We start from the raw sequence: 15,622 nt of genomic DNA on the forward strand, positions 1-15,622 counted from the left end.
CTGGTGGGAGGTTTTGGGATCATGGGGGCAGATCCCTCATGAAAGTCTTGGTGCTGTCCTCACGACAGTGAGTAGTTCTCATGCGATCTGGTTGTTTAAAAGTGTGTGGCACATCTCACCTTGCCCTCTTGCTCCCACTCTCACCATGTGACACGCTGGCTCCCCCTCATCTTCTGTTATGACTGTAAGCTTTCTGAAGCCCCCACCAGAAGCAGATGCCAGCACCACAATTCCTGTCCAGGCTGCAGAATGATGAGCCAGTTAAACCTCTTTTCTTTATAAATTACCCAGTCTTAAGTATTTCTTTATAAAAATGCAAGAATGGCCTAACACATCAATCTATTAAAAATTGCACCTTATTAGTATGCTAATATCTTCTAAAACAGCGGTCCCCAACCTTTTTGGTACCAGGGACCCATTTCATGGAAGACAGTTTTTCCACAGATGGGAGTAGGTATGGGATGCTTTCAGGATGACACTGTTCCACCCCAGATAATCATTAGCTAGATTCTCATAAGGAGCATACAACCTAGATCCCTTTTATGTGCAGTTCACAGTAGGATTCACGCTCCTATGAGAATCTAATGCCAATGATAATCTGACAGGAGGTGGAGCTCAGGAGGTAATGCCCGCTTACCTGCCGCTCACCTGCTGTGCAGCCTGGTTCCTAACAGGCCATTGACTGGTACCAGTCTGTGGCCAGGAGTTTGGGGACACCTGTTCTAAAAAATATACTCAAATTTTTTTCTTAAATTCCATTAATCAGTTTAACTAGTCCAGCATCAGTATCATACTCTTTCAATTATTATTATTATGTAATGTGTTGTTTAGTAAAAGACATTTCTCCACGTCATTTAAAAAACAACCTTTTTTGACCCTGGGCAACATGGTGAAATGTAATCATTTCCCAGAAGCCCCAATTTCCTATTGGAAAACAGTGTCAGAAATATTTCTTCTTTAGTTACATCTGTTTCATTTTTAAATAGTTCTATTTCTACAAAACACACACACACACACACACACACACACACACACACACACACTAGCCAGATATGGTGGCATGCAGCTCTAGCCCCAGCTACTCAGGAGGCTGAGGTGGGAGGATCACCCGAGCCCAAGAAGTCGAAGTTGCAGTGAACAGTGATTGCACCACTGCACTCCAACCTGGGTGACAGAGTAAGACCCTGTCTCAAAAAATATATAACTTTTTTGGACATCCTTTAATCATTTTTAATGAATTTTAGAAAAAATATCCCAGAAGTTGAGTGGTTTTATTAGTTTTCAGAATAATTTAGAGATAATGGACATTTTTATAGTATTGAGTCTTGTGATCCAATAATATTGTATCTCTATTTATTCAAACCTCTTGTATATCTGTCAGCATAATTTTATAGCAAATATATAAGCCACCTGAACTAATAATGCTACTGTGGATCAACTCATTTACTTCAGAATGTCCTAGCAACCGAGGCAAAAAGGTGGGTTTGATGAATTCTGTAATTACTCTCTGACAAAAGGAAATATGTACATTTTATGGGAAGAGAAATTTTTCTTCCAACTTCTTAAAGAATTTAGCACAGATCAACTTAATAGCTGCTAGTCATGTGCAGCCAATATGAAAAAATATAATTGAGAATACATATTGGGGTGATGAAGGGAATAGAAGCAGGAAAGTGAGATAATCGTACCTGATAAAATTTTCTGGAGATAAAGTCTGAATTGTACAGAACTTAGAATACTTGGAAGAATAAATGAAAACAACATATATCCAACTTTCTCCTCTTATAGCAAATCACTCAGGCTTTTACCAGAGTTTGGATGAAGTTTCAGGCTAGTTGTCAGTTTCTCCTTGAACACCCTATAAGAACAGAGCTTTAAGCATAAGCAATCTCTGTTGATGAATCCAGGGAGACCCCATGCAAGGATGCCATTTTGCTATGAAAGATGAAGGTCCCAGTTATATTCTCCTTGATGAAGTACCTTTGTATATTAGCAGTGGACTAACACAGTGGATGGATTAGATCTGAAGTCAATGTTTTGGAGTCTGCAAATGGTTGGAAGCTCTTCCCTTCACATTATTTCACAGATATTGATTGCTTCTGCCCTCTCTGAGTGCTAATCATAATCTCATTTAATCCCACAAAGACCCATGAGTATCATTATCAATCCCATATGCTAGATGAGGAACTGCCCTATTCACACAGTGAATCAGTGATAAAACTAAGATTTAAATTTACGTTCTCATGACAAGCAAGCCTGTAATCCCAACCACTATCCCACATCATCTTTACTCCTAAATGTACCAACACTTGTACAACCCACAATAGCAGCAATATTCACTCTTGGTACAAAGAATACATTAAAGTAAGAAATGAGGCTTTGTCTACACAGTTTGAATATATGAACTTTTGCATTTTCCAATTAAATAAGAAGCATTTGTCTTGTTTTTTAATTTTTATAGAAGTCCTAGAATCTTGAGTAGAATAATGCATCTGAAACTTTAATATGCATGTAGTTCACCTGGAGATCTTCAGGTGGAGTCCAAGAGTCTGCTTGTCCACCAACTTCAACTTCCCAGAAGATGTGATGCTGCAGTCCCACAGTCCACATTTTGGATGGCAAGAGGCTAGAGGATCATCATCAATCTGGTTTTCTAAATTTGAGTCAGGATGAAGGGCAGTCTTGATTAGCATTCAGTACCTAATGAATGCTAGGTAGCATTCAGTACCTAATGAATGCTAGGTAGCATTCAGTACCTAGCATTCGTTAGGTACTGAATGCTAATCAAGACATAATGTCTGTTCTTAAGGTAATGCAGTGATTGTCAGCTCTGGTTGCTCAGTGTAATCACAGGGTGAGGTTGAGATAGATATAGATAGATGAGATAGATGTAGATGAGATAGATTAAAACCTCTGGGGCTAAGATCAAAGAGGCATGGATACTTAAATACTTTAAGTATATATATTTGGATTATATCCAGGCTGAGGATATAAATTTGAGAAAGGTGGTAGCTATATTCATCCTGACTTTATCAGTTACTTTGGACAAGTTAATTAACTGCTCTATGCCCATTTTTTTTTCTAACGTAAAAATGGTAGTTGCACATATCTGATGGTTGAAGAATTAAATGAGAAAAGCATTATCTAGAACACAATAAGCATTCATATATTAGTTGTCAGTAATAGTTTCATCATTGTCATTCCAAAATTTTAGGTTCCTTGTTCCTTATATGGAGTAAATCACCCCAAAATAAAAAATGAGATGTGTATTTGTCTCATAATTGCACTTCTGTCAAACAGCTCTGTAAAGCAGCATCTCATGAGAGAGACAAAGCATGAAAAAATTAAAAGCACTTTGAATGTAAGAATAAAGATGTAAGATGATGACCCACCTCTCATTAGTACCACCTTTGAAACCTTCCTGTGTTTATTTCCTAGTCTCCCTTGAACTTCATCATTTCCCAGAAGCCCCAATTTCCTATTGGAAAACAGTGCCAGAAATATTTCTTCTATGTCTTCTGTGGTTACATCTGTTTCAATATATTTTTTTTTTTTTTGAGATGGAGTTTCGCCCTGTCACCCAGGCTGGAGTGCAATGGCATGATCTCGGCTCACTGCAACCTCCGCCTCCCGGGTTCAAATGATTCTCCTGCCTCAGCCTCCTGAGTAGCTGGGATTACAGGGGCATGCCACCACGCCAAGCTAATTTTTATATTTTTGGTAGAGTTGGGGTTTCACCATGTTGGCCAGGCTGGTCTCAAACCCCTGACCTCGTGATCTGCCCACCTTGGCCTCCCAAAGTGCTAGCCAAAATGTGCTCTGACTTTTCATTAATGCCTGTGCCATCCCCTACTCAGCCTTATACCACATCTACAGTTACTCAATAAGGACATGACTGTAAAAATAAATCAAATTTTAAAAATAGATTCATGTAAGTTGTTAGGAGAGCTTCCTATTTCAATGAATCTGTTCTTTAAATGAAACAGATTCCCTTTAAAAAGTAAACAGTCCACTCAGCTCATCTGTAGAAATACAGGAAATCATACATCCTTTCATTTTGCTTACTAGGTGATTATGTGGTGACATCCATATTGGTTTGGAGATGTTAATGTAGAAAACAGGTCCATTTGCTTCAGATTGTAAGTTGAACATTAGATTTTTACCTTTATTTTTGTTTTCAGCCAGGTCTGCCAATGCTGCTCTTTTCTACATGTGTGCATTGCATTGCATTCTTGTTCTGGCTCTTTTTACTCTTCCATTCTTTAGGCATAATTATCTTTCCATGATAAAAAAGCATACGAGACTGCTTCTTCCAATAGACCACTTTTATCTTTCAGTCACCTCTGCTTATAGGACCAATACAGTTTGAAAATCCAGCTTTAATCAGTTTACTGTCAAGCAAGAACCTTCAACTGGGCTTGTGGAAGTAAACAAAAGAACTATACTCTTCTCAAAACTCAAGCTCACTTCTCTCTTCTGTCAGTGTGTCACATCAAATGCTGGGCCCTCTCTTTAAAAGGGTCCAGGACAGTCACAGAAACTCAAATGTGGCTGTCATATTGCAGCCTCCTGTTTTTCCCAAATATACTTGTTTTTTGCTCATCCATTGAATCAATCAATAAGCATTTACTGAGTACTTACTATGTGCTGGGCACAAGGCTGGTGGAGATACAGTAGTGAAAAAGACAGACAGGGTCCCTGCCTTCATGGAGCTTACAGTTTAATGAGGCGATAGATAGTAGGCATAGAATCATATAAATACTGAATTCCAAATAGCTATTAATATTATAAAGAAAAAAATTGAAGTTTATTTAAGAGTATAGAAAGAAGACTTAATCTGGACTATGGAGTCAGGTGGGTTTTTTTTTTTTTAATTAACCTAAAGCTAAGCAATTAAAAGTGAGTAGAAAGTAGCAGATTAAGAGAAGAGACAAGAGACATTTAGATAGAAGGACAGTCAGTGTGGAGGCCCCGGCTATATTCAAAGGGCTCAGAGAAGGTAAAGATGAGAGGCGGTGAAAGATGAGTCTGGAGAGTCAGCCAGGGATCATTAATTTTGTTGTTGTTGTTCTGTGATAGTATTGCTTGGATTCTTGTAGCCTGTTTTCTCCTCCACTTTTTCCTATTTTTGACCTTTTGTTTCACTGTATTCATTCACTTATTAAATTCTTTTATGACTCAAAGCTTTGGTGAGGAATACTTGACTTTTCCATGAGCTATGTTTTCTTCCAGGTTGGGTTTTTCACCTGTCTTCAGTATGCTATGCTCTATCATTTGTTTTTCTCTTCTTCTTTGTTAGATATTCATGGATATGTTTATTTGCTGTATCTTGTTTGTAATGCTGCCTTGCAATTTCTACTCTTGCCTGTGCTTAACATAAGCATTTCTGTCCAGACATTCATTTACCCTCAATTTGTATGGCTAAGTTCTTCTTATTTCTTTCCCATTGTATTTCAGAACTATTTTTTTTTTCCTCTCCCAGCTACAATTAGAGAGTTGGAATACTTCTCTTTGGTCCATTTTTCTGTAGTTTGAAAGTGGTGAGGTGAGGGAGTAGTAGAAGAAAACTATTCTGTGGCCTTGAATGACAGAACTTTGCTCTTTTTCCTAAAATCTCATTAAATGGCCTACCCAGAGTTTATTCTACCGTCACAGCAGAGGCCCTACATTTCAGACCTTGACCCTTCTTCAGTGTGGAAACCAAGAAAACAATAGCCTTGGTGCTCACCTATGTCTGCTGAGCTCCTTGGATTCACACCAGAAGGTTTCACTTTGACTCTTTCCTGAGCAACCCACTCATCTCAGTCCACATCTCTACTAATTGGGGGGCAGTAGTTATTAATGAAAATTCCTGGGATTTGCAGACTCTCCCTTTCCAGCTTCTGCAAGGTGAAAGATTTGTTGCAATGGTCTTCTGCTTTTTCTTATACATTATTTTTGAAACATATGGTGTATGGTTGTAACCCTTAGCTAGTTTGTTTGCTGTTGACAATTTTTGGAAGGTTTTATTTTGTTATTGTTGGTGGTTTTATTTTACTATTTCAAGTGTTGTGATAGCAATATTTTGCAATCGGGCTTCATTTCACTGTCTTTATTTCCATATTTTCATCTTCAAAATGCCACTCTAGATTCCTCATGAAAAATGATTGAAAGGGTAAATAGAGATGTAAGAAGTGAATAAATTTAAAGTGTGTTTTGGAAACAAAAATCAACAGCACTTGATAAAGTGTTAGATGAGATGGTGAATGAGAGGATGGCATACTGCAGGAAAAACTGGGTGTATAAACAATTTCTAAAGACTTGTATCATATTTTCACCTTGAAGATCTTGGCCAATATTAGTTCACAATTCAAACGAGAATGAGAACAAGTATGTACTGAGTCATCAGTGCCAACTCCATGCTAAATGCTTTTGTTATCTCTTCAGTCCTCACCAGATCCCTGAGAAGGATCTCTATGTACTCTGCCTCCCCAGTTGTGATAGAAATGACACATTGTGGAGGACAGGGAGGGCCAGAGTAGGGGGCAGTGTGTACAGCTGGAAGCAACCCCATCATCCTTGCTCACCACCAGGCACTTTCATTGACTCCACCTCACTTCATCCTCATGACTACCATATGAAATATATATTCTTACCTCTGTTTTTTCTAATTGAGAAAACCAAAGATGTTAAATTAACTTGTTTGAGGTTATTAAGTTCATAGATGGCAGAGGCAGGCTTGAAATCTAGGACTTTTGATTTCTCCATACCTGTTTTGTTTGTTTGTTTGTTTGTTTGTTTGTTTGTTTTTTACCACACTCTAATGTATTATCAAACCCCTCTGCCACTCTGTGGGTATGTGCATAACAACACATTTGATCATCATCAAGCCCGTTTTCCGTGGTTTGTTGCACATCTATTTCTAACTCATAAACACAGTTGTAAAATGAGTCAACCTGAGAGAAATCAGACTTGTTTACTCATTTTGCAGAAATCTGGGTTTGGAGGCTTTCATTACCCCAAGGTTAGAAAAAGAAGGCTGCTATTGTAGTGATGCAAATGTGGTTCATTGTTCAAGTTGGACCGTATCCAGCAATGGATTCCATAAGCACCATGGCACTTTCCTCCTTTGCCCCCATTGGGTCTTATCTCCTTTATCCTGGGAGTGTTTGTGGCATCTTCACTTCTATTGTTGAGCTATAGGAAGGAGAGGGCTCATCTCAGCACTTCATTTGACAAGTCCAAAAGGAAATCAACAAAAGAATAAAAAAGTGAAGTGGCCTTATCACCCTACTCCCTCCTTTGGAGACATTGCTGCAATGAATACTTTTCCACAACCTGGACCTTTGGCCTTCTCACATGCACTCTAATTTTCTCCTGGGGCACAGAGATGAAATCACGATGACTTCCCCTGGTGGATGTGCTCAGAGTGGTTTTACGGGTCATGAATTAGCCTATCTGGGGAGAGAAGATCAAAAGTAAAATTATAAGTCTAGAGTTAGTAACTTAAAAGTTCTAAACGTGTGTTTGTGTGTACATATGTATATTATATAAGAGGGTGCCTTTGATGTCTAATCTGAATGCTATGTCAATGTATTTGTTTATAATTAGGCCAGACAAAAACAAGATAGAGAAATAAAGTTGTCACTGCAGGTGGCTACTGATGTGTGACAGTGTGTTCTGCATCAAATCAAATGCTGAATAAGATTGAAGAGGGGAAAGGCATAGAGAAAAAGGGGAGAAGACACTCTTGCAAAAGAAGGGAGAAACAGAAGCAATAGCTCCTTACATTTCCTCAGAAAGGGAGAGTGAGAAAGCTTGATTATTTTCTAGGAAATGGTATGTAGAAAGGTTTGGCAGGAGGTGAGTTTATGAGGGAATTTGAAAGTATTAAAGGGAAAATTACTTCTCTGAAAAAGCAAGAAGAGTACAGAGACACAAGAGCCAAGGAGAAGAAAGTTTTGTTATGAACATGCTTGAAGTTTTGCCGACATTCTGGACATATGTAAACAGAGTGCTCAATGGAACATCTGTCTGCTGCAGGTAACTTTCTTTTATGATATATTCACGTATGGTTTGCATTTTGTTTAGTTTCGAAGTTTGTGAAACATCTTATAAAACATTCCTGCTAAAGCATGGGTACAATGTGGACATCAGGAAGGCATGCTCAGTAGAAGAAATAGTAGAAACACAGGTAAAGACAGTAAAAAAAAGGGAATTGGAATTACAAGAACAGTGAGGAGTTCTGTTTCACTGGAGTATAGGATTCTTGATGTGGACTAGAACAGGAACTAGTCAGAAATTAGATTGGAGCAGCATCATGGAGGACTTAAATCTTAGTGTGAGATGTACAGTTTAGAATTTGTTCAATAGATAATTTTGTTCTGAGAACCCAGTGCAGTTTTGAGTGGATGTGTGACATATTCAAAGGTGTTCGCAGGTGTCTCATGCTCTAGAAAGAAGTCAAGATTAATGACAACAATTTCAGTGCCTTTTACATAGAGGTCATATTTGAAGGCTTGGGAGAGATTATGTGGTCCAGAAAGAAAACATGTTAGAACAGAGACTTAAAGAATGTTTACCCTTTTAAATAATCAGGATAAGAAAAGAGGCCATTGATGACAGAGGAGAAAAAGAATCTGGATTGCACATTATCGTAGGAGCCAAATGAACAGAAAGTCTTAAGAAGAAAGGATGGCCAGGCGTGGTGGCTCATACCTGTAATCCCAGCACTTTGAGAGGCCGAGGCAAGTGGATCACCTGAGGTCGGGAGTTCGAGACCAGCCTCACCAACATGGAGAAACCCCATCTCTACTAAAAATACAAAATTAGCCAGGCATGGTGGTGCATGCCTGTAGTCTCAGCTACTCAGGAGGCTGAGGCAAGAGAATCACTTGAACCCAGGAGGCAGAGGTTGCAGTGAGCTGAGCTCACACCATGGCACTCCAGCCTGGGCAACAAGAGTGAAATTCCGTCTCAAAAAAAAGAAGAAGAAGAAGAAGAAGGAAGGGTGTTTTCAACCATACTAAAAGCTGGGAGTGTGTGCACATTAAGGAGAATGTAAAGGGAGAACAGTTCATGGGTCTTGGGAATTTGTTGGTTCAAAAAGCATGATGAGTTCAAGACCACAGGGAAACACAGGTGTTGAGAGGTATAAACCAATTCCTTGTTCCATTTCTGTAAGGACTTGGAAGAGATCAACATGTTAGTAATTTAACAGAGGGGAAAGGCTCTTCTGGGTCAACACTAAAATTTTTAAAAACATACTTAACGTTAAGATGTTTTAGGGGAAAAAGCGATGAATGCTGCTGAAAGTCAGCAAGAGGCACTATAATTAGAAGTCATATCTAGAAACAAACATCTGAGAGGCAGTGGATTTGTCCTTTTGCAAGCTCTAATTCTTCTTTTTTTATTTGTAGAGTGGTTTTTCTTTAAAAAAAATTTAAAATAAAAGAATGTAGAGTAGAATGAGAATGATGAGGAGATGGACCATTCTGAATTTGACATTTTTGCCTTTTGTGGTCATAGCTAAGCCTAAGTAAGTATGAGCCTGAGGCTTTATTTCCTTGACTTCTCTGCCCTACTAATCAAGGGCTACGTATTGAAAGTGCTGAACAATGGAAGAATCGGAAGAGGGAAACCCTTTAGGACTGTACCTTTTACTCTATTTATGTCTATCCCCAAACCTATCGAGGCCTAACCCCTTCCATTATTCCCACCAGTCAAGCACTATTAGCGGCCTCCCTTGTTCTTTCTCATGCAAGGAAGGAGCTACAGATATGTTGGCTTACAGTTGACAACTTAGAGGATGATGTTTGATGTTGAGCCTGTACTTTCTTTTTTTTCTTTTTTTTTCGAGATGGAGTCTCACTCTGTTGCCTAGGCGGGAGTGCAGTGGCGGGATCTTGGCTCACTGCAACCTCCACACCTCCCAGGTTCAAGCGATTCTCCTGCCTCAGCCTCCCGAGTAGCTGGGATTATAGGCGCGCACCACCATGCCTGGCTAATTTTTGTAGTTTTAGTAGAGACAGGGTTTCACCATGTTGGCCAGGCTGGTCTTGAACTCCTGACCTTAGGTGAGCCACCCACCTCAGCATCCCAAAGTGCTTATACTTACTTTCTGAATATAAAATAAACTTGTCAATTATGTGGTTTTTAAGAGAGAGACAAGGGACCTTTAATAAAAGACACTTCTGAGGAACGTTTTCATTGTGTTAATATTTTAAATTACGGTTTAGTTTGGAACACATTCAGAACCTATCTCTACATCGTCTTTGTCTATTGAAAGATTTATATGTTTGTATATGTACGTGTATTTATTCACCGTTTCATTTTGCAGGAGTAAGACTTGTGTGGTTGGCCTCAGTCTTTCCACAGACATCTTGTAAGAGGATATGGTTTCCCCAGTCCCTTTGAAGTTACATTTGGCCGTATGACATGTTTTGGCCAATAGAATGTGGGTAGAAGTAGTGTAAAGCACTTTCAGACTGAAGGCTTAAAGCCTAGTATGTAATTCAACCCACTTCTCTTCCCTCTATCATGGCATCTGGTAATTCCCCAGATGGCAGCTTCTGTATCTGCCTGATCCTGGAGGGAGGACCACATGGAACAGAGATCCCAATCAACCCATCATTGACATATAGCTTGAGAGAGAAACATTTTGTTGTAATAAGCCACTGAGATTTGTACCTGTGGTACAGCTTTCAAGAACTTGTTCTTATGGGTTTAAAAATATTCTTGATTCCTGTGACTGAGTCATATTCTTGGTAACCTTCCCAGCCTCCAGTCCTGCTACCTGCTGATACCAAACAGCTGCCTGCCTGCTTTTTTTAGCATTTTATTCTGCATAATGTGTTGCAAGGCTCCTAACTGCTTATGTCACCCCAGTTTTATATTGTACTTATCTGACCCTTGCTTATCTATTACTTGTTACTGCACTTTCCAGAGATCCTCTTCCCTCTCATAGCCTGGACTACCCAGACCCTATATGTGTGCCATCCCCTAAGCATCTAGCTCACCCCAGTGTTTTGCTTTTGCCAGTTTCTATGGAATTAGCAATGCCCAACAATGTCTCTTGATGTGATTAACCTAAATGACTCTAAACTAATTGAGGGTAGGGTTCATGTCAGATTCAACACTGTAAATACCTCCTGTCTTAGAACAGGTGTTCTATAAACATTAAATGAATAAATGCACACTTGTATCGAATTTCATTAAAATTTATTCGAGTTTATTCAAATTAGAGAAAGATTTCCACCTGTTAAGTAGATTGGCTTCCATTGTGTTTCAAATTAAACCACAAATTAAATTTAAGGTAGAGTGTCTTTTGGTAAATTTTATCAAAATCATTCAAATTTTTTACAAACAAAGCAAAACCAGTCATTGCTGTCTGATTGGACATCAAGAGGTAAAACCATTATTTTTGCAAGCTTTTGCAAGCCATTTAAAAAATCTTTAGTAATTCAGTATAAGTAACTGCAGAACATACCTCTGGTACATCATATTCCATCTCATTGGCCCATCTCTGATTTCAGCTGTAATTAGAACAGACAGTTCAGTGCAAATGCTTGCCTTCTGCTTTTTGCCTCAGGCTATTTTCCAGGTAGGAGCCTTCTAGCAAGGTCAGAAACCAGGAAGTGTTGGTCTTTACTACCTCTTGGAGGAACCCTCAGCCAATGGATGAAGGGAGACACTGAATGCATCTCAGGCATTCTGAGTACTTTCCAGGTGGTCTGGCAAATCAAACCCGTTTTCCACAGCTAGAAACTTGATATTGAACCTTTATATTGACCTTTCTTTTTTCCCATCTATCACTCTCCCAGCTCCCTGACTCCTGTTTCCTGGCTTACCTTCTTCATGCAAGTCCTTATTTAAGACTCTCCTTATGGGGGAACCCACACTGAGAATGTAATACTCTTATCTAGTCAAGTACACAAATCAGCCTGTCTTGTATAGATCTTATCTGTACTTATTTCAAAGTGAACGTTTTGTGTTTTTAAATCTTCAGTCAATTACTATGCGCCTACTATGTGTTCAACACTGTGCAAAGTCTTATGAGAGAACACATAGGAAAAAAACATGAGATTTGCAGTCAGATCTGGTTCTAGTCTTGGCCTTGCCAAACACTATCTAGTACTTGGCAAATTACTTAAATTCCCTAACGCTTGCCTATAGGTTAGAGATAATAATAATGCCTCTTTCTGAGGAATGGGGAAAATATTGCCAACATTGTAATTATTAATGATAGTATAACACATGTAGTCTGCATTATCAAACTTATTGTATAATTATAGAACATCATCTTGCATTGCTCCCTACATAAACATACTGAAGGCATATAAAGGTTGCAAATGCATTGAAACCCTGTGGTGTATTTTTTATGTTTTTATGCTCAAAAATACATAACAGTGCTGAATACATATTAGTCAATTAATAAATTAATGGTTGAAAAAATTATAAGATCCTTGTCTAGACAAGTGGCACAATTAGGGTGCTCACCTTTCATTTTGGGTTATTTGTAAAGTGTTTTCTAGGTACTTGATTTATATGTTAAAGAAATTGAATATTGTTAGTTTTATAATTGTAAATAGAAATCAGTTTAATCAGTTTGTGTGTTTGTGTTTGAGAGAAGGAGGGAAGTGAAAAGGGAGAGAGAGAGAGAATCAATTTGACAATGACTGTTTACTTTTCCCCAAGAAACTATACCTTTGGTGGTTAAGGGAGGATGAGGTAGGAGACGAACAGTAGCATGCAGAATAAATCACTGTCAAGTGTTAGTTCATTTTAAGAACCCTCGTGAAGTAACTTAGTCAAGGTTCAACCTTGAAATTTGAACTAATTGATTCAGATGGCTATCCTAAGAAACAAAGCCAGCAAAGGCTAATGGGATAGAGGATGAGAATCAACATTTGTGCCATTACAATAGGTTGACCTCAGGTAGTCAATTTTCCAAGATATTATTGAAGTAACTTGGAATTTCCAAAGAATGCAGTGCTGTCTGGAACCACACAAAAACTAGAAATGTGTCTCTTTCGTGATGGAAAACAAACGTCCTTAAACCATTCCCTTCTACCTGGTGGGTTTATCTTTGTGGTCTCCGCTCTCTGTGAGCAGGAACACTTTACAGACATTGGCTGAGGTCTTTGGACCAGAGTTAGAACCAGGCTTTAAAGTTAGAGGGGTTGGTCCTTCCCTGTGGGCAGAGCCCCAAGCAGCAGAGACAGACTCATTTCTGGCTGTAGCACTTTTTGAGTCTGGTCCTTGGTAAGAGGAGAGTTGGGAGGAATAGACAAATTAAAACAGAAATAATTTAACCCTGATGTCAGGCTTCCCAGATTACTGCTGGTGGTATGTTAGAACATTTTAAGTGGTTTATAAATGAACAATTCTTACTTTTAAAATGTTATATGTTTATTTCAATGTTTATTAAGTACCTTCTATTTATAAATAATTGCAGTTATGGAAAATTAATTAATAAAAAGGAGTGAGCCAACACAAGAAATATTGACTGCTGTTCAAAGGGTGAGATTCATATGATGTGTGAGATGATTATAGGTGCTATAGCGATAAATATTTCTTAACCTCTAAAAAATTATACCTAAAACCTTTGATAGAAACATGAATAAAACTGTCTTAATTCTTGTTGCTTTATAATAAGTAGTGATATCTGGTAAAGCACATTTTTTCACTTTATTTTTATTTTTCAATGTGTCTTAACTATTCTTTTGTTTTTATGTTTTTTGTTTTTTCCTTTTCATGTCAATTTTAGAATAAGCTTGGTGCGCTGGCAAGCTGACTCTCGGGGGAAAAAATCTTTGATTTGTAGTGTTTGCAAATTTCCATGGGGGTAACCACTCCCACAGTGGGTGATTTCAAGCCACAGTGGTTTAATAATCAGTTCAAAGATTCCTGAATATTCAACAGTCGGGTCCCGTGATTTGGTGTGAGCTAGTATGAACTGGCGCACCTCATGAGTTGGTATAAGCTAGCTCCTACACCCCACCAATAACCTTGGCCAGCATTACACATGTACATGTGCACACAACACCACTGTAACTATTTTTATTTGGATTGCATTGAATTTATAGAGGCTTGAAGAGAATTGACATGTTTACTATAGTGAGTTGTTGAGCCCATGAACATGATATATTTCTGCATTTACTTAGGTCTTCTTCAGTTTTTCTCAGTGATACTTTATCAGTTCATTTTTCCTTTCTTCTTCGTAGTCTTTTTTCGTGATGTCCTACTCATCTTCTTTATATTTATATATAATATTTACATATAATATATGTATATTTATATATAATATTTACATATAATATATGTATATTTATATTATATTTACATATAATATTATATGTATATTTATATTTACATATAATATTATATGTATATTTATATTATATTTACATATAATATTATATGTATATTTATATTATATTTACATATAATATTATATGTATATTTATATTATATTTACATATAATATTATATGTATATTATATTATATTTACATATAATATATGTATATTTATATTATATTTACATATAATATATGTATATTTATATTATAGTTACATATAATATTATATGTATATTTATATTATAGTTACATATAATATGTATATTTATATTATAGTTACATATAATATTATATGTATATTTATATTATAGTTACATATAATATTATATGTATATTTATATTATAGTTACATATAATATTATATGTATATTTATATTATAGTTACATATAATATTATATGTATATTTATATTATAGTTACATATAATATTATATGTATATTTATATTATAGTTACATATAATATTATATGTATATTTATATTATAGTTACATATAATATTATATGTATATTTATATTATAGTTACATATAATATTATATGTATATTTATATTATAGTTACATATAATATTATATGTATATTTATATTATAGTTACATATAATATTATATGTATATTTATATTATAGTTACATATAATATTATATGTATATTTATATTATAGTTACATATAATATTATATGTATATTTATATTATAGTTACATATAATATTATATGTATATTTATATTATAGTTACATATAATATTATATGTATATTTATATTATAGTTACATATAATATTATATGTATATTTATATTATAGTTACATATAACATTTATATATAAATGTAAACTTTTTAAGTTTTGTTTTTTAAATATTTGTTGCTGGCATAAAAAGTGTACTTCTTTTTTTTAAAAAAAGGTTATATTAACCTATAGTCAACGTTCTTCTGTAACCCATATATACATTTTGAAATTTTATATATACCTTTTTTTGGATTTTTTTAATGTAAGCAGTCATACTTTTGTGTGAATAATATTTTTATTTTTTCTTTTTAAATCCATTGCTTATATTTCTTCTTGCCTTGTCACATTGTGTACCTATACAATGTTAAATAAAATGAGTGACTGCTGGCATTCTAGTCCAAATTCAGATTTCAAAGTAAAAGCTTTCAACATTTACTATTAAGCTGATGTTTTCATATAGAAATTTTGTTGTTGTTTGACTTGTTTGTGTTTATTTGTTTTTTTACATGCCCTTTATTGAATTAAGGAAGCTCCCTCCTGGTTTAGTTTGCCAAGG

At 36.3% G+C, this 15,622-nt stretch overlaps 1 long non-coding RNA gene across 3 annotated transcripts in view, besides 1 other annotated feature; it reads left to right on the top strand.

The window, feature by feature from the left end:
* SOX2-OT (SOX2 overlapping transcript) overlaps positions 1–15,622 on the top strand; it is a 685,549-nt gene that overhangs the window by 295,114 nt on the left and 374,813 nt on the right. The window lies entirely within an intron of this gene.
* Positions 7,690–8,889: an enhancer, noted in NCBI's record as "BRD4-independent group 4 enhancer chr3:181077271-181078470 (GRCh37/hg19 assembly coordinates)". NCBI's record gives its function as "activates an origin of replication core promoter dependent on BRD2, P300/CBP, MED14 and CDK7 cofactors, and independent of BRD4, by STARR-seq in HCT116 cells {active_cell/tissue: HCT116}" and the evidence as "EXISTENCE:reporter gene assay evidence [ECO:0000049][PMID:35650434]".

The sequence above is a fragment of the Homo sapiens genome, chromosome 3 (genome assembly GCF_000001405.40).
Source record: "Homo sapiens chromosome 3, GRCh38.p14 Primary Assembly".
Taxonomy (NCBI): domain Eukaryota; kingdom Metazoa; phylum Chordata; class Mammalia; order Primates; family Hominidae; genus Homo; species Homo sapiens.